The sequence below is a fragment of the Homo sapiens genome, chromosome 20 (genome assembly GCF_000001405.40).
Source record: "Homo sapiens chromosome 20, GRCh38.p14 Primary Assembly".
Classification (NCBI taxonomy): Eukaryota; Metazoa; Chordata; class Mammalia; order Primates; family Hominidae; genus Homo; species Homo sapiens.
In genome coordinates this window covers 23,595,880-23,622,015 of record NC_000020.11, presented here as the reverse complement: position 1 = coordinate 23,622,015, position 26,136 = coordinate 23,595,880, and the positions used below count along the sequence as shown (strand labels likewise).

Here is a 26,136-nt window from a genome sequence, read left to right as displayed (position 1 = left end):
CCTGCCCTTATGATCCAATAACCTCCCACCAGGTCCCTCCTCCAACACTGAGGATCACAACTCAACAGATTTGGGTGGGGACACAGAGCCAAACCATATCAATAATAATATAAAATCAAAAAGGGCACTAGCACTATCAGCAGAATGAAAAGGCAACCCACAGAAAAGGAGAAAATATCTGCAAAATTACATATCTGACAAGTGGTTAGTATCCAAAATATATAAGGAACTCCTACAACTTGACAACAAAAACAGAGCAAACAACATGACCAAAGATGGGCAATAGGCTTGAATCGATATTTCTGCAAAGATACATGCATGCATGGCCAGTACACACATGAAAAGCTACTCGACATCACTCATCATTAGGGAAACACAAATCAAGGCCATAGTGAGATACCCTGTTACACCCACGAAGGTGGCTGTAATTAAGAATGTGTAAAAATTAGTACTCTTCTTCACTGCTGGTGGGAATGTAAAATGGTGCAGCTACTGTGGAAAACTTACAATAGTTCCTCAAAGAATTAAAAATAGAATTACTGGTCGCTGCCAAGATGGCTGAATACGAATAGCTTTGGTCTGCAGCTCCCAGCGAGATTGACGCAAAAGATGGGTGATTTCTGCATTTCCAACTGAGATTCCTGGTTCATCTCATTGGGACTGGTTGGACAGGGGGTGCAGCCCATGGAGAGCAAGCTGAAGCAGGGTAGGGCGTCACCTCACCCGGGAAGCACAAGGGGTCAGGGGATTTCCCTTTCTTATCCAAGGGAAGCCGTGACAGACTGTACCTGGAGGAATGGTACACCCCTGTCCAAATAATGCACTTCTCCTATGGTCTTCGCACCCGGCAGACCAGGAGATTCCCTCCCATGCCTGGCTAGGTGAGTCCCACACCCACAGAGCCTTGCTCACTGCTAGCACAACAGTCTGAGATCGACCTGCGGAGCTGCAGCCTGGCAGGGGGAGGGGCATCTGCCATTGCTGAGGCTTGAGTAGGTAAACAAAGTGGCCAGGAAGCTCGAACTGGGCAGAGGCCACCACAGCTCAGCAAGGCCTACTGCCTCTCTGGACTCCACCTCTGTGGGCAGGGCATAGCTGAACCAAAGGCAGCAGAAAACTTCTGCAGACTTAAACGTCCCTGTCTGACAGTTCTGAAGAGAGCAGTGGTTCTTCCAGCACAGTGTTCAAGCTCTGAGAATGGACAGATTGCCCCCTCAAGTGGGTCCCTAATCCCCGTGTAGCCTGACTGGGAGACACCTCCCAGTAGGGGCCGACAGACACCTCATACAGGTAGGTGCCCTTCTGGGATGAAGCTTCCAGAGGAAAGATCAGACAGCAATATTTGCTGTTCTGCAGCCTCTGCTGGTGATACCTAGGCAAACACGGTCTGGAGTGGACCTCCAGCAAACTCCAACAGACCTGCAGCTGAGGGGCCTGACTGTTAGAAGGAAAACTAACAAATAGAAAGGAATAGCATCAACATCAATGAAAAGGACATCCACACCAAAACCCCATCTGTAGGTCACCAACATCAAAGACCAAAGGTAGATAAAACCACAAAGATGGGGAGAAACCAGAGCAGAAAAGCTGAAAATTCCAAAAACCAGAGCGTCTCTTCTCCTCCAAGGGATTGCAGCTCCTCGCCAGCAACAGAACAAAAATGGACGGAGTTTAACAAGTTGACAGAAGTAGGCTTCAGAAGGTCGGTAATAACAAACATATCTGAGCTAAAGGAGCATGTTTCAACCCATTGCAAGGAAGCTAAAAACTTTGAAAAAAGGTTAGACAAATGGCTAACTAGAATAAACAGTGCAGAGAAGACCTTAAATGACCTGATGGAGCTGAAAACCACAGCACGAGAATTTCATGACACATGCAAAAGCTTCAATAGCTGATTCGATTAAGTGGAAGAAAGGATATCAGTGATTGAAAGTCAAATTAATAAAATAAAATGAGAAGACAAGATTAGAGAAAAAAGAGTGAAAAGAAATGAACAAAACCTCCAAGAAATATGGGACTATGTGAAAAGACCAAATCTACATTTGATTGGTGTACCTGAAAGTGATGGGGAGAATGGAACCAACTTAGAAAACACTCTTCAGCATATTATACAGGAGAGCTTCCCCAACCTAGAAAGGCAGACCAACATTCAAACTCAGGAAATACAGAGAACACCACAAAGATACTCCTCGAGAAGAGCAACCCAATTGTCAGATTCACCAAGGTTGAAATGAAGGAAAAAATGTTAAGGGCAGCCAGAGAGAAAGGTTGGGTTACCCACAAAGGGAAGCCCATCAGACTAACAGTGGACCTCTCAGCAGAAACCCTACAAGCCAGAAGAAAGTGGGAGCCAATATTCAACATTCTTAAATAAAAGAATTTTCAACCCAGAATTTCATATCCAGCCAAACTAAGCTTCATAAGTGAAGGACAAATAAAATCCTTTATAGACAAGCAAATGCTGAGAGATTTTGTCACCACCAGGCCTGCCTTACAAGAGCTCCTGAAGGAAGCACAAAACATGGAAAGGAACAACTGGTACCAGACACTGCAAAAACATGCCAAATTGTAAAGACCATCAAGGCTAGGAAGAAACTGCATCAATTAACATGCAAAATAACCAGCTAACATCATAATGGATCAAATTCACACATAACAATATTAATCTTAAATGTAAATGGGCTAAATGCCCCAATAAAAAGACACAGACTGGCAAATTGGATCAAGAGTCAAGACCCACTAATGTGCTGTATTCAGGAGACCCATCTCACATGCAGAGACACACATAGGCTCAAAATAAAGGCGTGAAGGAAGATCTACCAAGCAAAGGGAAAGCAAAAAAAAAAAAAGCAGGAGTTGCAATCCTAGTCTCTGATAAAACAGACTTTGAACCCACAAAGATCAAAAGAGACAAAGAAGGCCATTACATAATGGTAAAAGGATCAATTCAACAAAAAGAGTTAACTATCCTAAATATATATGCACCCAATACAGGAGCACCCAGATTCATAAAGCAAGTCCTTAGAGACCTACAAAGAGACTTAGACTCCCACACAATAATAATGGGAGACTTTAACACCCCACTGTCAATATAAGACAGATCAATGAGACAGAATGTTAACAAGGATATCCAGGACTTGAACTCAGCTCTGCACCAAGCAGACCTAATAGACATCTACAGAACTCTCCACCCCAAATCAACAGAATATACATTCTTCTCAGCACCACATCACACTTATTCAAAAATTGACCATATAGTTGGGAGTAAAGCACTCCTCAGCAAATGTAAAAGAACGGAAATCACAACAAACTGTCTCTCACACCACAGTGCAATCAAATTAGAACTCAGGATTAAGAAACTCACTCAAAACCACACAACTACATGGAAACTGAACAACGTGCTCCTGAATGACTACTGAGTAAATAATGAAATGAAGGCAGAAATAAAGATGTTCTTTGAAACCAATGAGAACAAAGACACAACGTGCCAGAATCTCTGGGACATATTTAAAGCGTGTGTAGAGGGAAATTTATAGCACTAAATGCTCACAAGAGAAAGCAGGAAAGATCTAAAAATGACACCCTAACATCACAAGTAAAAGAACTAGAAAAGCAAGAGCAAACAAATTCAAAAGCTAGCAGAAGGCAAGAAATAACTGAGATCAGAGGAGAAATGAAGGAGATAGAGACACAAAAATCCCTTCAAAAAATCAGTGAATCCAGGAGCTGTTTTTTTTAATATCAACAAAATTGATAGACTGCTAGCAAGGCTAATAAAGAAAAAAAGAGAGAAGAATCAAATAGATGTTATAAAAAATGGTAAAGGGGATATCACCACCGATCCCATGGAAATACAAACTACCATCAGAAAATACTATAAACACCTCTATGCAAATAAACTAGAAAATCTAGAATAAATGGATAAATTCCTGGACACATACACCCTCCCAAGTCTAAACCAGGAGGAAGTTGAATCTCTGAATAGACTAATAACAGGTTCTGAAATTGAGGCAATAATTAATAGCCTACCAACCAGAAAAGTTCAGAACCAGATGGATTCACAGCTGAGTTCTACCAGAGGTACAAAGAGGAGCTGGTACCATTCCTTCTGAAACTATTCCTATCAATAGAAAAAGAGGGAATCCTCCCTAACTCATTTTATGAAGCCAGCATCATCCTGATACCAAAGCCTGGCAGAGACACAACAAAAAAAGATAATTTTAGACCAATATCCCTGTTGAACATCGATGCAAAAATCCTCAAGAAAATACTGGCAAACTGAATCCAGCAGCACATCCAAAAGCTTATCCACCAAGATCAAGTTGGCTTCATCCACGGGATGCAAGGCTGGTTCAACATATGCAAATCAATAAACGTAATACATCACATAAACAGAACTAATGACAAAAACCACATGATTATCTCAATAGATGCAGAAAAGGCCTTCAACAAAATTCAACAGCACTTCATGCTAAAAACTCTCAATAAACTAGGTATTGATGGAATCTATCTCAAAATAATAAGAGCTATTTATGACAAACCCACGGCCAATATCATAATCAATGGGCAAACACTGGAAGCATTCCTTTTGAAAACCGACACAAGGCAAGGATGCCCTCTCTCACCACTCCTATTCAACATAGTGTTGGAAGTTCTGGCCAGGGCAATCAGGCAAGAGAAAGAAATAAAGGGTATTCAATTAGGAAATGAGGAAGTCAAATTGTCCCTGTTTGCAGATGACATGATTTTACATTTAGAAAACCCCATCATCTCAGCCCGAAAGCTGATGAGCAACTTCTGCAAAGTCTCAGGAAACAAAAATCAATGTGCAAAAATCACAAGCATTCCCATATACCAATAACAGACAAACAGAGAGCCAAGTCATGAGTGAAATACCATTCACAATTGCTAAAAAGAGAATAAAATATCTAGGAATCCAACTTACAAGGGACATGAAGGACCTCTTCAAGGAGAACTACAAACCACTGTTCAAGGAAATAAAAGAGGATACAAACAAATGGAAGAACATTCCATGCTCATGGGTAGGAAGAATCAATATCGTGAAAATGGCCTTACTGCCCAAGGTAATTTATAGATTCAATGCCATCCCCATCAAGCTACCAATGACTTTCTTCACAGAATTGGAAAAAACCACTTTAAAGTTTATATGGAACCAAAAAAGAGCCTGCATTGCCAAGACAATCCTAAGCAAAAACATCAAAGCTGGAAGCATTGTGTTACCTGATGTCAAACTATACTACAAGGCTACAGTAACCTAAACAGCATGGTACTGATACCAAAACATATAGACCAGGGGAACAGAATAGAGGCCTCAGAAATAACACCACACATCTACAACCATCTGATCTTTGACAAACCTGACAAAAACAAGCAATGGGGAAAGGATTCCCTATTTAATAAATGGTGCTGGGAAAACTGGCTAGCCATATATAGAAAGCTGAAACTGGATCCCTTCCTTATACCTTATACAAAAATTAACTCAAGATGGATTAAAGACTTAAATGTTAGACCTAAAACCATAAAAGCCCTAGAAGAAAACCTAGGCAATACCATTCAGGACTTAGGCATGGGAAAAGACTTCATGACTAAAACACCAAAAGCAATGGCAACAAAAGCCAAAATAGACAAATGGGATCTAATTAAACTAAAGAGCTTCTGCACAGCAAAAGAAACTATCATCAGAGTGAACAGGCAACCTACAGAATGGGAGAAAATTTTTGCAATCTACCCATCTGACAAATGGCTAAAGTCCAGAATCTGCAAAGAACTTAAACAAATTTACAAGCAAAAAAACAAAGAACCCCATCAACAAGTGGGCAAAGGATATGAACAGACACTTCTCAAAAGAAGACATTTATGCATCCAACAGACACATGGAAAAATGCTCATCATCACTGGTCATCAGAGAATTGCAAATCAAAACCACAATGAGATACTATCTCACACCAGTTAGAATGGTGATCATGAAAAGGTCAGGAAACAACAGATGCTGGAGAGGATGTGGAGAAATAGGAACGCTTTTACTTTGTTGGTGGGGGTGTAAATTAGTTCAACAATTGTGGAAGACAGTGCGGTGATTCTTCAAGGATCTAGAACTAGAAATACCATTTGACCCAGCGATCCCATTACTGGGTATATACCCAAAGGATTATAAATCATGCTACTTATAAAGACACATGCACACGTATGTTAATTGTGGCACTATTCACAATAGAAAGACTTGGAACCAACCCAAAGGTCCACCAATGATAGACTGATTTAAAAAATGTGTCACATATACACCATGGAATACTATGCAGCCATAAAAATGGATGAGTTCAGGTCCTTTGTAGGGACATGGATGAAACTGGAAACCATCATTCTCAGCAAACTATCACAAAGACAGAAAAGCAAACACCGTATGTTCTTACTCATAGGTGGGAATTGAACAATGGGAACACATGGACATAGGGTGGGGAACATTACACACCAGGGTCTGTCAGGGGGTGGGGGACTGGGGGAGGGATAGCATTAGGAGAAATACCTAATGTAAATGTCGAATTGATGGGATCCAAAAACCCATCAGCAAACCAACATGGCACATGTATACCTATGTAACCTATGTAACAAACTTGCACGTTGTGCACATATGCCCTAGAACTTAAAGTATAACAAAAATAAAAATAAAAATAGAATTACTGTTTGATTCAAATTCTACTTCTGGATATATACCCAAAAGAAGCGAAAGCAGGGACTCAAACATAATATTTGCACATCCATGTCCATAGCCAAAAGGTGGAACCAACTCAAGCGTTTATTGACGGATGATGAGTGGATTTACAGAATGTACTATACACATACAACAGAATATTATTTAGCCTTATAAAGGAAGGAAATCCTGACATTTGCTGCAACATGAATGGACCTTGAAGACATTATGCTAAGTGAAATATGCCAGTCACAAAAAAATAAATACTGTCTGATTTCATACATATGAGGTAACTCGAATAGTCAAATTTATAGTGACAAAAAGTAGAATCGTGGTTTACAGGGGCTGGGGGTAAGGATAATGGTACTTATTGTTTAATGGGACAGAGCTTCAGTTTGGGAAGATGAAAATGCTCTAGATGGATGCTGGTGATGGCGGCTCAACAATGTGAATGTACTTAATGCCACTGAAGTATAAACTTTAAAATGGTTAAAATGGTAAGTTTTTTATTATGTACATTTTACCACCGAAAAACCCTTTACATTAGGTTAAATTACTTTTTCCCTCAGAGTATTTCTTGCATCTGTCACATCCTTTTCAGTAGTCACAGGCACAGAAGTCTCATTTTATGCCAGAAAGAATTTCCTGAAGGGCAAGGTCATTACCCATTACCAACATTCGAACAGGCAGGGCCTTCTAGTGGAAACCATCAGGGTTTGCAGCACAGATTTACCCCCCAGGCAATAGACCCCACTGTCTTCCTGCAGGGTCCCGCTGATCTAGGATCCAAAGGAGTCCCAGTGAGAGCCAGGACCAGTGCTGGGCTCTTCCAGTGAGAGAAGCGCTTTCAGTTCTCAGAAGCAACCAGAGCTTGGGAGAGGCAAGGTGCAGGCAGAATGCGCTGATGGGCAGGTGTGAATGCAGTAAGTGACTGAAGCCCTGCTCTGTGTTGCCTTTGCTAGGGATGCATTCACTGAATCAGAGGATCCTGGGCCAGGAGAGCTCAGAAAGACCTTTGGATCAACCACTCAGTGGTTACCGAAGGCCAGCCTGCAGAAGGTGCCATGGCTGTTAAAGATCCGGTTCCCAGGCCTCACTGCAGACACTGAGTCCATGAGGTAAGGCTTCAGAATTCATATAAACATCTATAGATTAAGCTCCCCAAGTGGCTTAGATGGGCAGTCAGATTTGAGAATTGTTGGTTCTGGCAAGGAAAGACAAACAAGTCCACTGGAAGTATTAATAATTTATAATCTGTAGTTGGAGGATTTAAGCTTGAATCCTCTAGGGCTCTATGGTCTCTCTGTTGCCAAATAGCCTTTGTCTGTCTCTTCCAGGACCCAAGCCAACATGGAGGCCAGCCACACTTCCAGGACTCTGATACCCTTCTAAGGACAAAGTAAAATACAAAAGGCTCTGGGGCAGAGCCCACTTGACCCAGGGCTGAGTTTAGTGCTCTAAAGTTCCTCCAAGGAGTCTTTGTTGTTTATGTTTTGTTTTTTGGGGTGTGTGTGTGTGTGTGCATGTGTGTGTGTGTATGCAAACCAGGGTGAGTAAGCATTGCTGTGAATTCAGTTTTTCTGAAGCAATCTTGCAATCTCATGAGAATGTGAAAGCCCTGTAGAAAAATATCCTGAAACAGAGTGGGGAACGCAGAGATGGGGTACAGGCTGGGGAGCCCTGCAGGCACATTCTGCAGCCTAGAATTTGACTTCAAAGACTCTAGCCTTAAGCTCTTGAAATGTGTGGCAGTGGATGAAGTATCCCCCATGATTATCTTAGACCATTTAATCCGGTAAACCTAAAAACAAGTGCCACAAATTACTTCCCACATGACCCACTGGATTTTCTAGGAGCTTTCCTCTCCTCCCACCTGCTTCTCATCTGAGTGTCCATGGTGGAGCACCCCCTAAGGAGCAAGTCCTCTCACCTCACCCAATCCTCTTACCCCTGGCCCCCAACCCACATCACCCTTTTGGGCCTGAAAGACTCTGAATTCAAGAGGATGCAAAAAAAGCTAAAAAAAAAATAAAAACATTATTTTATTATTATCAAAGTACTGTCTGCACATGATAGAAATTGCAGATGAGCTTAAGACAAAAATCCAAGTGTCCGTCTGCTCGGAGCTTCTGTTTCAGTCCTAAAGAGCAGGTTGCTATGTTCCAGTTCTCCTGGCATCTTACCTCACAACTTCTCTAGACCGTAGGCCTACCCAACAATAACTGCATTTGCCTATTTCAAAGAATATGTGTCTGGCCTCTGATGTGAAAGATGGCAATCGACCTATCCGGGTACAACCCCACCTCCAATATTTGGCATTTAGATTTAAATATTGATATAGGTTATCTTTTATCTTGAACCACTATATATGGATGTTGGAGAAATAGATCCCAAATCTAATCCCTTAGCCTAAAATCACATGGATTGTGGTGAGGCTTAAGGAAGATATTAACGTGTCAAGAATCACTGATGTGTCTGGAAAAGTAAAGAAGGTGGAAAATAGACTGAATCGGTTTTTGTCCCCCAAAAGGAAGTATTATCTCTGGCATGGATTTACTGCTTAAGGTTTCAAAATAAGTGCCAGTGTTGGAGATTTGAGGTTGATCTCTAAATAACACTTATTGAAGAAGTGGAAAATTTGGCTGAATCAAAGGAAAACTATTGCAAGAAAGCCAAAAGGACTCTGAATGGAATCAGTTCCAGGAGAAAGCAGCCGTTGTCCATGCCTGGACAACCACTAAAGAAGGCAGAAAGAACACGTTTGTCAAATTGGCCAAGTCTAAAGAGAATGTTTTCAAAGAAGTAGAGGTAAACTTTGCCCAAAAGTGTCAAAATGAAAAGTATTGAGAACACTGTGATCAGTGTGCATGAAGTGGTCAGAGGCAAGACAGCCCCAAATACCCTCTACAGAAAGGCTCACAGTGACAAGGGGCCATTGTGACAGAAATTAGAGTGGTTGGAACAAAAGGTTTTGAGGGTCTCAGCTGATGATTACATTTGGCACTTATCCCTGATTTTATTTTAAAATAAAACTTGCTCCCAATAGAGAAGAAGAGGAGCCCGGATGCTGTTTTGACTTCAGAATGAGGATGGGGGATAGTGGGTCTTCTAACAGCAAACGGTCAAATCATACTGTAAGGGGTCACACAGTGTCACTGTATATGATCTCTCAGCTAAACTTGATCCAAAACCATAGGTGAGGAAAGGGGGCTTAGGAATACTGAGGTGCACCAGGTTTCCCAGCTACAAGGCAGAACACAAGGACGTGAGCCCAAGCATCTCAACACTTTAAAATGAAGCTTGGGAACGTGAGTTTGGTTGTCAGAGCCTTTCGAAGAGATAATCATTATATTTAATTATCCAGAAGATACTCTCTTGAGTTCTGATCCCAACCTGACTTGGACCAAAAGTCTAAACTCAAAGCCAAACAGTAAAATGCAATCCCATTTCCATGCCCTGTCTACACTGTCCCAGAGAACCTGGTAATTGCTGACAAGCCATAGAATCCTCTGCTCCTCCTTTTTGCCTGCCTACCCCTGGTGGGAGCTTGGACATTTGGGTCCCTCCTCATCTCCTCTGCCACTTGACTGCTGAGAAGGTTGTCATCAACAAGCCTGGCTCATGAGGGATGTTCCCCCCAGAACTGGTGATGAGAATGAGCAGCACAAACACCATCTCCTGAGGGCCTGGTCCTGCTGGGCCTCCTGCCAGTGCCTTCCATACATCTCCCCATTCATCTTCATGACAGCTCCATGAAGGAGAAATCACAAGAGTCCAATTGCACGGTTGTGGAAACAGAAGCTCACATAAAGTAGAAATGTGCCCCCAGGAAATGCAACTAGTAAAAGGTGCAAATGAGACCTGAACTCACATGTGCCCAACTCCAAAGACCTCCTCAACTACTGCTTTGCCTCCTTCCGTGGAGTCTATAAACCATACAAGTCATCTAAAGACTCCAGCCTCTACAAATGGAGCCAATAACAGTACTATTTCCTTGCAATCAGTCAAGATTGCCCCACTTATCCTGTCTCCAGTTCTGCACTCCCGCCTCTCAGTGATAGACACCTGGTTCCTCCCGTTACTCTTCAGGACAAGTGCTTGTCTGCATCAAAAAGGTAATTTCAACTTCCCAGGAAGACAAGCTGCCCGCAAGAACAAATCTCATGTTTCCAAAGAATGAAGGAAGGGCACGGTGAGCTTGCAGGGTGAGGTGCTTGTGACGATAACAGTAGCATCAATAATCATGGCCAATACATGAAGCTTTTCCGAAAAGCTGGGATCCAAAATCAGACTATATGCCCCAAAGAGAGGATGTTAGTGCAAAGCAGCAGCCCGATGATGGGAGGGTGTGGCAGGGAGTCAGGGGCTAGAACCAGGGAGCAGACCCATCTATTCTAGCAGGTAGGGCCCAGGAAGTGTGCCTAGGTCTGGGAAGTGCCCAAGAATTTTTCTTCCTTTCCTGGCCAAGATCAAACAATGACCTTCTTAGCTCAGGCCTGTGCCTCCTTCATACAGCCAGTACAATAGAAAAGAGGCTCAAAGGCAACCAGCCTTTTGGGGAAAGGGGACTACGATAGAAATGCTGTTGGAATCAGAGGGTGGAGAATGAACTGCTCCATCGTCAATGCTGGAAAAGCCAGCTGTGCACGCAGGTGGTGGGGCAGACGATCGATCCTGGGATTCCAACCTCACACCACACACACTTAGCCTCCAGTTGGATCGCACACATAAATGTGAAAAGCAAAAGAAAGAACATGGTGAAACAGAACATAGAAGAGCATAGGAAAGGATTGTTGAAATGAAAATTACAAAAGCACATACCCTAAACAAAACATTGATACATTAAACCGTCTTCAATTTTTAAGAAAAATCTATATGGTGAAAGAAATCAGGTTGCACGTGGTGGCTCATGCCTGTAATCCTCGTACTTTGGGAGGCCAAGGAGAGAGGATCACTTGAGCCCAGGAGTTCAAGACCAGCCTAAGCAACATAGTGAGACCTCCGTCTCAAAAAAGAATAAAGAAAAGAAAATCATCAGCACAGCTATCCCTAATAAAACTGAAAGGAGGTGATCTCATATGTCTGCAATTTTCTTTCTGGTGCTGACCCTAGAGAAGCTGTCATACTTGTGCACATGAAAACCAGGACAAAAGTGCCCGTTGCAACCCCAATTTAAGAGGAAATGAGTGGAATCAACCCAGTGTAAAATCAAGTCAGTAGAGAATGCTTTAATAAACCACTGTCTGTTAGTTTTCATCACAAGCACCTGACCCTATAAGCTCCACCCTATTTCACCATTCCCAATTAAATCAGGAAGGACTTAATTAACTACAGTCATTCAGGTCAAGGTCCCAGTGAATAAAGCAAAACAGTGGTAATGAAGGAGCTAGAGCGACAAGTGTCAACACAGGTGATGCTCACAAATATGATTTCAGTAAAGGCATAAAGTGGTAAGACATACAGTCATTATTTATGCAAAATGTTAAAAACGTAAAACGTAATGATATATACCATTTTTGGCTGAACTGTTACTATGTGAGGCTTAAAGGAGTCAATGAGCGCCTAAGGCAGTGCCCAGCAGGAGTGAGGCTTATGAAAGAATTCTAGCATTGTCAGCATCCTGAGAGAGAAAGCAACACCAGCTTGTTTAAGCCACTGGTATTTGGAGTTTCTATTATGTTGAAACCTACATTTCACTTAGTAAAAGTGGAATTGTAGGCTGAGGCATGAGGATCACTTGAGGCCAGGAGTTCGAGAACATCTTGGGCAACATAGTGAGACTCCATCTCTACAGAAAATTTTAAAAATAAAAAAGAAGTGGTATTATGACATTTTTGTACTGTTTTAAATTTAAATTAACTTACAGTTTTTTAAAAACTAAAGTACTTATGAAAGAAAACAATGGGCTGCGTTGGATGGGAGAGGCTTCCGTCGGGAGCACAGCAGAAGCTGAGGAAACGCCCACTGAGGAGCGAAGGCAGGTGTGTTCGGCAAAGGCCAGCAAACAGGAGGGCTGCTGAGGGTGACTGGGGCAGCACTTCCTCTTCAGAGCAAAGCTCCTGGGCCCAGGGCAGCACCCCCGACTTAGCCAGGGTGAGGGACCTGCTGGACCCACAGGAAGGAGAAGAAACAGCCCATGGGCCTTCCGATTTGCATGTGGTACGAATGACCCCTGATTTAGGCCTCTATATTTACCGGTAATGTTTGTATTTTTATTTCTCCTTTTGTCATTTTTTAATTCAATCATTATTCCTCTTTCTCAGTTTAAATTTGCCATAAGTCTATATGAGATTAATTCCTTAAATTATAAAAACTCAAAGTCAGCTGAAGACTGAGCTAAGAAGAACCCCCCAGGTGGAAAACCTGGAGGAGGGGAGGGAGGAGTGGAGGGGGCTCTGGAATTCCCTGGCAGCACCCCCACCCAGCCCCGCTCACCCCCCTGCCCCGAGCTGCCCCTTTGATGATTGCTATGACAGCAATCACTGGATCACTCACTCTGCTCTGAGTCCGGGCTTCTCCCTGCCCCTGCTGTCTTCCTTTGATCTCCTGGACACCACCTTGTTTTCCAGCACACGGAAACCCCTGGGAATGCTGGCTTGTCTGGGGAGTCTCCTAGGGAAATGCCAAGCAGGGGGAATGGGGAGGGTCCCGAGGAAGTGATCCCAAAGCCCAGCAGGCGATCCTGAAACTGGCAGGCCCCGCTGAGCCTGGCCCAGCTTGAAACAGGCAGTGAGCAAGGTCGCACGGGACCTTTAGAGCATGTGGCTGAGTAGGCCGGGCAGTGAGGGACATGAGTCCGACCCCGGGGAGAGCACTCAGCTGGAGGGTCTGCGGGAGCTGGGGAGAGCGTCCTGTGTCCCGAAGAGTCACTGGGCTTCCCCTCGTCCACCGCCTCATGTTCAGCTTCACAGAAAAGGGCCAGTGGCTTGGTCCTGGTCGTTGCCAGCATTCTCTAATCATTCAAAGGAATGCGTTCAGAAATACAGGGCCTCGTTTCTGGAAAAGCAGGTCCATTTCAGTGAGGAGTTACTGGGACCTTCCTATGAGACCACATGGGTGTTCGGTGCCAGTGCCAGCAACACAAAGAGAGCACCAGACAAGTCCCGGTGGCCCCAGAGACAGACAGGCCAACGAGTGCCCAGGAAGAAGCTGAGTGAGACAGAACTCTTGCAAGGGGACTCAGGAGAGAAAGCCTCCCAGACCTGAGACCTGGGGATAGCCCTGCAGAGAGCTGTGAGCTGTGCCTGTGGGCTGGCCAGCCAGCCCCTCCGGGCCGTCCGGTTTCACTCTGGCCTCGGCAACATGTTGACCCACGTCTTCGGGGCTCCTCAGCCTGGAGCCCACATGTATTTCTCTTTACCTGGCTATGTCTTGATATTCCCGTCTCTCTCCACCTGGGAAGTGAGGCCATCCCAGGCCACTGGGGATTCAACAAGAAAATAGACACACTTGTAAGGGTCCATGGTGTCTGTACACCCGTGGTCTCACATCTGGGTGTGGGGATCCCTGTCCCCTCCTTGGCTGCACAGTGAGGACAGAGCTGGTGCCCAGGACCCTAAACCACTGCTCATGTAAGAGTGAGTGTGGGCACTCCCTTGGAGCACATGTGGGTATCGGCCCTCAGAATGGTGGGGGAGCCACTGGCAATTGGCAGGATGCCCCAAGTTTGTCAGCCGCTGAACTTACAAGGTGAGAGTGACCTCCATGGGCATTGCAGGCCTCTCTCAGGACACTCGCAACCTATTCCAGGCATCAGGATTCTAGTTCTCACAGCACCTTATGGCCTGCTCATCCCAAAACCCACAAAGGCATTTCCGCCCTCACTGACACCCCCTTCCTACCCCTACGTGCACCATCACTCTCCAGCTAAGAAACCACATTAGTTACGCTTCAGCTGCAGTTCCAGTGAACTCAACGCCATCAGAGAAAGGATACAGACTCCTTGGGTGATGTTTTTGGCACATCTGGCTGCTTTCCTGGAATTGTCACATTGAGTTGCTTTTTCTTTGCAAACAGGGTCTAGAAACAAACTCTTATTCTTTATCACCAGGCATGCTGTCTAAGCCTGTCCCCCATCCTGTGTGCCCCACAAAAGCCATTCTCATCCCCTGACCTCCATGCCCCTCAAGCTGAGTTACTTCTCATATGTGGTTTGGTCTGTATGCACTTCCCAGGAAGTATTCTGAACCTGCACCACTCAAAGTATGGTTCTGAGACCGGGAACACAACCATCCTCTGGAAGCTGGTGAGAAATGTAGTTTCCCTGGCCCTGCTCACAGCTACTGGGTCAGAATCTTTGGGTGGGGAAACTAGGAACTTGCTTTTTAACGTGACATCAGGGGATGCTGGTTGCTTCTGAAGTTTACAAGGAGCTACGGATAAACATCAAAGGCATATTTCACAGGGACAAAGCTTAAGTCTGGTCTGTGAAGAGTGCATTATTCAGTCTTTTGAGAGCCCCATTTGCGGTTGGAGTTGGAGGCTATGTGGGTCTTGGTCGAGAACTCAGAATCTCCACCCACAAACTGTGCCGCAGAGTGCTGTGCCGGCTGTGGCCACAGGAGGGAACCCGTGACAACCTAATGGGTGCACTTCAGCCATCCCTGAGGGCATCTTCGTCTTTCTGGTTCTCCACTGCTCCAATTGCAAGCGGCCACCCGTCCTGGAAACACCTTTGAGGAATAGGGGCAGCCATAACTAGCCAGGCCCCTAGTACCAGCACTTGGCAGCGCGTCCCTGGGCTGGGAAGCTGCATTTAGGGAGGTGCAGAGAACAGGGTTGGGGGCTCCTGCTCTTGATTTCCTCAACCTCTGCCCACGACCCCCAGGCTGGTGCCCCCCTCCCGAGACCCTCGGGGGAGCAGACACCTGCAGGACATCCCGCCAATCCTCCCGGGCTCCCCGCCTCTCTCTCAAGAGGCCCAGTGCTTTCTCGGGGCGCTGTACCTGCTCACCCATGATACTAGCATCCACTGTCATCCCTTTCCATCCTTTTGTCTCTGCCTTTCCACCTAACCTCCCCCTCCCAGCCCACCCCCACTGCTGAGTCCAGGGCTCACCTTCCACTCATACCTCTCACACTTGTGTTCCTGTGCCGGGCTCTGACTCTGGGGCGCCCAGTAGAGGTCTCCTTTAGCCTGCGGAGGTGCTGGGGCAGCTGGGGCTGGGCCTCATGTTCAGGGCACTATCTCTCCCATTGCTAGTCTTTTCCAACCCACCTGCCTGGGTGCTGTTCCTCTCCCCTAAACAGGAGATGATTTAAACGCCTTTGGAAGAAGGGAGGCCATGTGTGGGAGAGACAGGGTGTAACTGCAGAGGTGAGGCCTGGAGGGAGGAGTTTCTGCCCCAGCAGGTGAATTTAAAGGCCAGACCTGAGCCCTGGAAGGCTCCAGTGGACGCCAGGGATCTGAAGGGCAAAGGCAAGGGCTGCTGGAGCCTGCATCATGTCGAGTCCGCAGAGGAGGAAGGCTATGCCCTGGGCACTGTCACTGCTTCTCATGGGCTTCCAGCTCCTGGTGACTTATGCCTGGTGTTCTGAAGAGGAAATGGGTGGTAATAATAAAATAGTCCAGGATCCTATGTTCCTCGCCACAGTGGAGTTTGCCTTGAACACTTTCAACGTGCAGAGCAAGGAGGAGCATGCCTACAGGCTGTTGCGCGTCCTGAGTTCATGGAGGGAGGATAGCATGGACAGAAAGGTTGGTGACCACATCCTCTTCTGGCCTGTCCTTCTCCATCTGCCCCTAAGTGAGGGACCAAGATGTCTAGTCTAGGAGACTTGGTTCACCATCAGCAGTCCATAGTCAGGTAGTCCACAACCAATTACGGTAGTTTTAGTTTTGGAAAACATTGAACTTAAAATTTTTTTTAAATTAGGTAAATGTCTATTCACATGCAAAATATATTTTTCAATCTTCATGATTTTTAAGACATTGTATAACTGAAGAGTGACTTCAAAATAAGGACTTCTAAGGAGATGAAGCTGACAAGAAGAGAAAATAACCAAAGAGACTGATAAACATTTCCAGGTCATAAAATGAAAATGGAAAAGCAAGGACACACAGAGGGAGAGAGAGAGAGAGACAGAGAGAGACAGACAGACAGAGAGAGAGAGACAGAGAGAGAGAGAGACAGGCAGACAGAGAGAGAACAGTGAGAATTCGAGGGCAATAAAGAACACCATCAGCCCTGAGAGGCCACCGTGAAAGGTTAGTTCTCTGATCTCCACCTTCTCTGGGCTCCTTGCTCTGTCTGCACTTAATGAACTGAAGGCCAATTTACACTCTTCCTCAATGGACCTTTATCCTAAAATGCTTGCCTTTTTGATGAAATCATTAAATGTGGTCAGGAATGCACAGTTCATCTGGGCTTCAGGCATGAACAATTAAAATGCCCTCCTAGTGGAGAACTTCTGGTTTAGAGAGAGAAGGAGCATTGCTCTTCCTTTCTCAGCACCAAGAGCCTGAAAGAAAGGCAGAGGGACTCTAGTACCGCACAGAGCTTAAGCTCTGGAAAGACTCTGTGCAAGGCTCTGGCTGGTTCTCTGCCTCCTGGGGTGGATTCCTCACTGCCATCCTCAGGATTCCAATGCTGGTACAGAGGAATTTTCCTCCTTGCTCATTTGCTGCCTCCTCTCAGGAGAATTAAAAGCCTGATGCAACCCTCAGAGGGGCATCTGGTCCAGTAATGGTGGCTGCTAATATTCATGCTGGAACCTTGGAAGTCTCAGAGATTGAGATTGGCCAGGCCTCATGCTTCTGCTTTCCCAGTGCTTTGCTTGATTCTCCAAGACCTCAGTGTAAGCCTCCATTCTTAATACCGTTAGAATAAAATCTAAGCTCCTTACTATGGTCTATAAGTCCTAAATGACAGTAAGTCCTAAAAGCTTTCCACATGGCTTCCTGGATATGGCAATCCCAGCATCAGTTTGGGGGCTGGGAAGAATAGATGGGTGAGAGGGAGGCTATGGAGTGGAATTAAATAGAATGGAGTGGGAAGGAGGGCAAGGAGAACTTCAGCATGCACTTTGCAATAGGGCAGATGGTATTTCTTGAACCCATTTTCCCAGGGTGTGTGCCTGTGTGTAGTGGGAGCGCTGTGTGTCATTCTTCTTGCTGGAGGTCACTTGGAAGGTTTGACAACACACTGTAGATGAGGCTCCCTCTGTCCCAGGGCTGAAGTTACCCTGAAAACTCTTGGAGATCCAACACCCTCCCGGACATGTGGCTCTGTCCTCTGGGAATGCAGCTGCAAGATCAGATGCCTACTGAGAGTGAAGCTGGAGTCTCACCGTGGGAAATGGGGGTGGGTGGAGGTGGATAATGTGTTAGTGGGGTCTGACTCAGCCTGCATCCTCCCCAGACCCACCATGCCCACCTGCTTTTTGCTCTTAACTCCTCAGTCTAGAGAAGATCCCCTGGGTTTCACCTCCAGTGAGCTGATGCCAGGCCCATGGGCAAGCTCTCAAATGCAGTAAAGTGTTGGGGCCTCTCCTACTCAAATGGCATCTTCACTAGTAGCTACTTAGGGGCAGGAAGACGGTGCATCCACTTTAATCTTCTTTTGTCCAACAGTGGCGAGGTAAGATGGTGTTCTCCATGAATCTGCAACTGCGCCAAACCGTATGTAGGAAATTTGAAGATGACATTGACAACTGCCCTTTTCAAGAAAGCCTGGAGCTGAACAACGTAAGACAGGGCATCAGCTTTCCTCAGGTCCACAGCTGTGGATGCTGCATGGGGTGTGGTGTGGGCACAGGAGCAGCTGACAAAGCCATTCCGAGGGACAAAGGGAAGTGAGCCCACAGCAGGCTGTACCAGGCTGCCCTGCTTGTGCCTTAGTGGGAAGCCCAGTGAGGCATTAAGCCCAGGGGTTCACTTTCAGGCCCCTGGCCAATCTGAGTTTCCTGATTCTGCCCTCTGACACCATTGCAGCTGCCTGCACCTGGGCCACATGGCCTTCAGAACCTTCTCTCTGGTCTTCCTCCCCACTTCTTCCCTGCCTTCTAGAGAAAGAGCCTGGAGACAATGGTGACAATGTCTGTGGGTACTTTTCTCAGGGTTTCCCTACCCTGCCCTAGACCCAAAAGTGGTGGAGGCTGAGAAGAAGCCCCACTGCCCTCGCTCCTAGGCCCTGCTGAGCTGCAGCACCTGCTCTAGGGGACGAGCTCCAAGCAAAGCCTGGCTCTGGGAAAACTTCCCATTCTTAGTCAACCCCCTTATTGTAAGATTAACAAATAGGTAACTAATTGCCTAAGTCTGGGAACTGCTTCCACTGGGACAAAACATTCTCCTGCTGCTCTTGGATGCAGGGATCACACCAGGACAGCCTGGGGTTCCCCTGAGGGGCACGGGCTGGAGGAGGAGGCATGGCACAAGTGACCCTGGCTAAGGAGGGAGGGAGCCTCAAATCACGTTGTAGTTCAGGATTGGCCTCAGGCTCAGGCTAGACCTGAAGGCCAGAGCCACGTGGCACAATTGCTGGCCCCAGGAATGGGCAAGGTGGAGATGGAACCTGTGTTGAGGGCAGATGCCACAAGATTCCCGAACCTCCCCAAACCCCGCCCTACTGTCTCTTCCTGTTTGTTCCCTCGGACCTTCAGCTGCTTCTTCACTGTTGAAACCATGCCCTGGAAGACATATTTTGAACTCCTGAACAAGACCTGCTCAGAGGGGCTCTCCTGAGTGGAAGCCACTCACATGCCTGGCCACATGCTGCCCCCTCCCCCGTGGACACCAGCTGTTCCCAGGAGTTGACATATCAGTGGCTGAGCAGCTCCGTGCATATTTGTTCTCTTATTTTGCAAGTGTCTGAGGTTTTATGACTTGGCATTTTAGAAAATCCTCACTGTCCAGGTTCCTCAAGTAGAATAGGTCATTAAACATCAGCATTTGCAGAAGCTTCCTGTGCCATGTTCTGGAGGGAGGGGGCTGAGCAGTTGATGGAGTTCCTCTCAGAAGGGCAGCCTATTTGCATCTGTGTCAGTGGGGTCCTCCCTCCCTTAAGACCTCATAAGCCAGCTTCCAGGTGGCACAACCAAGATAAGTCTGAGCTGCTGTCTCCATGCTCGTGGCTGATGATGACCCATGTGGCCAGAGGTAAAATGTCTGTGATCTTGCAGGACACCCAATGTGCACAACTGAGCAAGACAGGGCCTCTGGGTCCCACTCAGCACATGTGGCCTCTGTTCTCAAGGGGTGGCTCACACACCTTTCCTGGTTCGTGGAAGGTTGGTGGGAAGAGGAAGGACTTCTAGCCTCACCCTTATAAAGCTGTCCTGGCATCTGGAGCAGCAGCATCTTCTGAAAGAATCTTAGAAATGTCCAACTTCAGGGCCTCTGACCTTTGGAAAATGCATCTGCGCTCTTACAAATCCCCAGGGATGCAGAAATCCCCTGAAAATGCAGGATTTGCAGGAATGCACACCCCCAGGGGATGCAGTGTGAGAGGCACGGGCAGACTAGATGCTACCAAGACATTGCCCAAATCACCTAAACCAGGGTTTGGCAAAAAAATTTTCTGAAGAAGCCAGAGAGTAACTATTCTGGCCTTTGTGGGCAGATGGTCTCTCTCAGCTACTCAGAATTGCTGTCGTATCTTGAAAGGAGCAATAGCCAATGTGCAAACATGTAAGAGTGGTTGTGTTCCAATAAGTGTTTATTTACACAAACAGGCAGTGAGCTGCTTGGGCCTCAGGCCATAGTTACCAGTCTCTGATGCTAAGAGCTCCTCTGGACCCTGGTGCCCCTGAGACACACCATGCTACCAGCTCCCACGCCAGGCACCTGTATCTCCCCCAGCTTCACTCAGGGGTTGATCTGTGCAAATGAGCTCCATCAGCAGAGCAGGTGCACCCTGCAGGTGTGGGAAAGGTCACATCTGAGAGTCACATTCTGTCACTGGAAGTGAGCAGGTATATGTCCCAGTCTCCCCAGCCTCAGGGCACCCAATTCAGGGTTGAATTTCTGCATTTGCCTCCCAGCAGGATATACCCCTATGGTCCACAGTCTGGCCTCGAGAAAGAAACCATCACATCCTCCAGCTAAAAATTAAATAAAGTACTCTTTCTGGACAAGACTTAAGTTTCTTCTCCATGAAGATGCCTTCAGCATTTATCTGTAGTTACTTGTGAACTTCAAAGGGACTAGAATACCCTGAAGGCAAGTTCTAAATACCCTAAACCTAAGTTCTTATTCTCCCTATCCCCCAGGAATCTGAACCACTAGGTCTGGGCAGGGCCAGGGAATTTGCATGTCTCACCACCTCTCCTGGGACGGACCTGCTCCTGGTACCCAGACCACACTTGGAATGGTGCAGGTTCAGAAGCCATCATTGCGGGGTGCATGCAGACCAAACCACAAGTGAGAAGTAACTCACCTCAAAGGGCATTGGGATGAGGCTGAGAATGGCTTCTTCATTGCACGCTGAATTGGGGAAGGGGTCAGAACACTATGCCTGATTGTAAAGAAAAAGGAGAGTTTCTAGACCCCAGGCAACAGGACGGTGCCTCTGGAGAAGAGAGAGGCTGCACTGGCCCTGACAGCCTGGCCCTCTGCACTGCAGCTCCTCAGAGCTGGAGCTTATATTTAGTCAGTTCCCATAATTAATTGTTTAAATTTTTCTACTTTTTTGTATTATGAAAAGTGGTATGATGAATGCTTCTTTTATATTTATCGCTGTGTATATATGGTTATTGCTTTCTTATAGGCAATGTGCTCAGAGATTAAACTATTGCCCAATATTTTCATTAAAATTTCTTAAGAATTTTTAATAAACATTATTACAATGTCCTCTATTAAAGCAAGTAATAGGTCATTATCATGAGGTTGCTTTTGTACCTGGAGCTCTTTCATAAGCAAACCAAAACTTAACTTGGAGGCATTTCTCATGGCTGACTTACAAATTAAAATCTAGCATCAATCAACCACAAACAGGCAGCCAGTTAGTTATATAACTAGGGACCTCTGATCACAAGATACCCAAATAAGGCAAACACCTAGGACCAGGAACATCACCATTCCCTGTGTGCTGGTTAGAAATGCAATTTTCCTGGCCCCACTCACACCTACTTGGTCAGTGTCTTGGGAAGTGGGGTGGCTAAAACTTGGGTTTTAACATCCGTTCAGGGGATTCTGGTCTCTCTGAAGTTTACAAGTGCCTGCAGATAAATATTGACATCATTACACCTATCATTACATCATGCCCAAATAAGGTAGACATCTAGCTAAGCCAATCAGGTAACTTCTTGACTTTGCTCCCTTGTTCAGCCTGGGAAACCTTGCTGTTTATGCTACTAGAGAAAAACTTTCTCAATCTTTTCCAGTTTTGAGTGTTGCCCAGTTCATGAATTCTTCTTTGCCCAAATAAACTCTATTGAATTCATTTTGTTTAAAGTTTTTCTTTAACAATTTAGTGTCAGATGTGGAATCCTAAGGCAAACTCCAGCTGCATCTAAGAAAACCTACTACCCAGCAAAGGCACCAACTGAGCCACGGTGCTCTCTTGCTGCAATTGGAAAGTGGGGGTGAGTTTCCTTTCAAATAGGAGCTCCAGAAACTTGCATTTTGACCTCTCCAACTTTATTTGCACATTTCCTTAGCCAGTCTCCATTCAGAATCAGATTGAATCCAATAAATAGCAGAACTGAGACCAGTTAGAGCCCTCAGGTAGGTACTTTCTGAAAATTGATTTCTCCAAAGAAAGGAGCCTGGGACTCCACTTGCTGGGATACTGGCTAATTTTATGTATGATAATTAGGGACCACGAACCTTTATATTTTTGGACAAACAAGTTAACCTTGCTAAGAATAATTTAGGATGACAGCATTCACATGGGGAAGTTTTAATTTTGGCAACATTGTTCATTTGCAAGGTGCAATAGAAAAGAATCCAAAATACCTAAAAACAATACCACCATCATCACTAACAAACAGGCCATTCACTGTTGCTTACCCCCTAGTTTTCACTACAAATTCAAGCTAATAGTAGTTAAGAGTTATAACTAACATATGGTAATTAATGCTAGAAATAATAAGAGAACCAACTCCACATGTAAGAATAGTAAGACAAGTTTTAGGTAGGGGAAGCTACGAGATATAAAGGATGTGTTTTTCTTTAAGAAAAAAGTAATTTTTTTAACCTAAAGTAGAATGGCTGGTTGTTCCACAATGGAAAAGAGAAAGCAAATAGGACAAAACCAAATTGATATAAAAGAAGTTGTAGAAGGTTTGTGGAAAGAAATCTTGGGAAATATTTCATGTGTGATAAAGTTTGATAAGATTTGAAAGAAATTATTTATAATTTGTTTGATTATTCATATCAAAAGTACACTGATGTAACACTAGAATTTGGCCTCCTATGTTAAAATGACAAGGATATCTTGAATTATTGGACTGCCCTAATATGAGATTGTGAAAGATGTTTTTTAGCCTTTTAAGAATTCTAGCTAGGAAACAAAGACTGTGTCTTAGCAAAACAATTTACTATGCTTCATGTTGTCTTTTGTCAAGTCTTTAGTTACTTTAGAAAACCAAAACCTCTCTATTAAAAGAGGCAAGGTTTTCACTATAACAATGTAACTTTCTGTATTTGCCTTTAAAATCTATTCATCATCATCTTGAGTAACAACACTTTGTCACAGTGACTTCATATCCTATTTAATCAAGTATTCAAGCCTTAATATTTTTGACCACTTCCCCAAATCAAATTGTTTTTCTGCTTTTTTTATTTTTTTCTTCTTTTTTTAATTTTTTTAAATTTTTTAAAAATTTATATCCCAAATCAAATTCTAAATTAAGTCTTGTGACCTTAAACTAACTTTGGGAGTTTCCAGCTGACCCATGTCACATCTCAAAACAGTCTTTTTTCTCTCCTTACAAATAATGATAAACGAAATAGGCTTATTTGATATGTTAAATTCTGTAAGAAGTACTGTCAAATAATAAAAACCTCAGGTGGAATATTTCCACCACTAGCTGGACCATTTGAGCACTTACAGTTGAACTTCATTCAATTGCCACTCTCAGTGGGATATCAACATGTTCTTACAAAAATCTATGTGTTCTCTGGTTGTATAGAAGCTTTCCCATGCAGGAAGGCTAATACTATAATAGTTAGGTAGAACGTTTTTAGAAAATGTGTTTCCTTTATGAGGAATTCCTGAGTAAATCTCCAGCAATAGAAATACTAACACAGTTAAATAAGGTATTACACGAACAATGGCATTACCATTATTTCTACCATACTTAATTTTAAAGGGAGAAAGGGCAAATAGCATTTTAAGACTGAAATTGGAAAAGCTAATCAATCAACAAGACTTTCTTGGCCAAATGTATTACTATCAGTTTTGGTGGCAATCAGATCCACTCCTACAAGAAAACACAAATTAATATTTCATGAACTTGTTACCAGAAGACCTATGCACCTAATAAGAGAGCCTTATGTATCTCCTGATTTTATAAATTCCAACATGAGTCAGCGTTATAAATTTTACTGCATGATTTCAAAGTATATTTTCATCAAGTAAAAGGAGCCTTACATGACCTACCAACTAATGACAACCAGACCTTTCGTAATCTAGAACCCAGAGACTGGGTCTTTTAAAAATGACACCAGAAAAAGACTGTGCCTAAACCCCACTGGAAATGACCATACCAAGTTCTTCTCAGTATCCACACTTCAGCAAAACTTAAGGGCCTTGAGACTTGGGTCCACAGGTCCCCTTCAAACTCTTGTAGCTGCGCATCCATTGATGATTCCAAGGTGAAACTGCACAGTGTGGTTCTCCCCAGAAGCAGATAACATTCTAGATGTAGACAGCTTTCCCAAGATCATGAATCAAGACTTCTCTTAATGTCATCATAAAATAATTGTTCCTTTCTTTCTTTTCCCTGTGCATTCTTTTTGTGTATGAGTGGCAGAATAATGCTATGATCAGGATCTCCCAATCAATAGCTTCAGCAAGAATCATAACTGAATGTTGGAGATGTCATGCTAAACTTAAATTCTTACATGATTTTAGAGATCCTCTAGTTCACCCTGTAACAAATTTTACTGATATTCCTAGTGTGACTGCCTGTTGGAACTGCATATGTGGATTATACTTTAAGACTCATATGTTCAGATTTCTTGTTTAAATCTAACAGTAGACAGAACCTCTAGTGAGGATTTTACAGTGAACTCTTGCCAGAAACTGAATTTAAAAACCAAAGGGAAAGATTATGCAACAGTTTATAGATACATTCATAACCCAAATCCCCTAATTGTGGGTAGCCTTCAGCCATGTGGTAATACAATAAACTAGCCTTGGATGAGTAATACTCATGCTTATCTTCCGGTGGCCACTTACACACAAAGCACCCCACAGGGAACTATCTGTTGTGCCCCTCCAGGATATATTTTTATCTGTAGAAGATTTAATAATCAACCATAAGAATGAGCAAATCCAGGCTTTGATAAATGAGAAATAAAATGTGCATTGAGGATTTCAACAGTACAACTCTTACTCCATAACTGTCTGGAAACTAAGCCTTGGTCAACACCCTTTAATTTGCATTGTAGAATAACAAAGAATTTGCCAGCAGGCATATATCCCCCTAAATTGGCATCTTGTGGTAGAATACTCCTTTCGTGTACTAACACAAATATAAATGAGGTGATGAGACATATGTTGCAAACATATAGCTGACTACTGTAAAGGCTATAATGCCACAGCCTCCTCCAAATTATCTTGCTAAAGTTGTTTTAGTTCACAGTATTGCTTTGGAATACCTCTTTGCTGAACAGGGAGGGGGGTGTGAGATAGCTGTCACTGTCTGCTGCACTTAAATAAATACGTCTGGTATAGGAGAAACTCAGTTGCAAGAAATCAACTAGTAAGGCACTTGTTTAAAACAAGTACATTTTTCTTTTGGCTCATTCTTTAATTTATTTGACTTTAATTGATTTGGGTCATGGTGGCCTTGGTTATAGAGCATACTTTAGCCTCAGTATTTCCCTCCTGATGGTAAGATTAGTCTTCTTGGTGCACTGTGTCCTCTTGAGACTTAAATGTTTGTGTGGAGCCACCTACTCTTTGTCAAACAACATCACCCCAGTTAGAGTAACAAAAACATGAAGAACAACAGAAAGAATTATTCAGTTAGCCTGGCGTCTTATGAATACCATACTGAGACCAACTAAGTCCATTATAATCATGACAGAGAGCAGAGTTAATGCCCAAAGTTTTGGTCAACCTCTCATGATTGTTAAAGCAAATAAGAAGGCCATTAGCTTGAGGTTGTCTCTGTACTGTAGCTCTTATGTAAGCAAACTGATGCTTACCTTGGAGGCATTACTTGTAACTGACATCTAAAAAAACAAACCTAGCCTCAGTCAGTCACAAACAGTCAAACCAGCCAATTGCTTATATAACTAGACATCTCCCAGTACA

At 44.3% G+C, this 26,136-nt stretch overlaps 1 protein-coding gene across 1 annotated transcript, besides 1 other annotated feature; it reads left to right on the top strand.

Moving 5' to 3' along the window:
* Positions 1-16,098: 16,098 nt before the first annotated feature.
* Positions 16,099-19,606, top strand: CST9 (cystatin 9). The gene is made up of 2 exons (NM_001008693.3): positions 16,099-16,406; positions 18,282-19,606. Exons 1-2 carry the CDS (start codon positions 16,152-16,154, stop codon positions 18,504-18,506), a joined length of 480 nt encoding a protein of 159 aa, NP_001008693.2. The 5' UTR covers positions 16,099-16,151; the 3' UTR covers positions 18,507-19,606.
* Positions 19,149-19,650: an enhancer, noted in NCBI's record as "H3K4me1 hESC enhancer chr20:23583003-23583504 (GRCh37/hg19 assembly coordinates)". NCBI's record gives its function as "activates a minimal SCP1, AML or CMV promoter by ChIP-STARR-seq in naive H9 embryonic stem cells {active_cell/tissue: H9 hESC(naive)}" and the evidence as "EXISTENCE:reporter gene assay evidence [ECO:0000049][PMID:30033119]".

Coding starts and splice junctions, on each gene's coding strand:
- CST9 (NM_001008693.3), top strand. CDS start 16,152: ATGTCGAGTCCGCAGAGGAGGAAGGCTATGCCCTGGGCACTGTCACTG. Junction 16,407..18,281: donor AGGATAGCATGGACAGAAAG/GTTGGTGACCAC, acceptor TTTGTCCAACAG/TGGCGAGGTAAGATGGTGTT.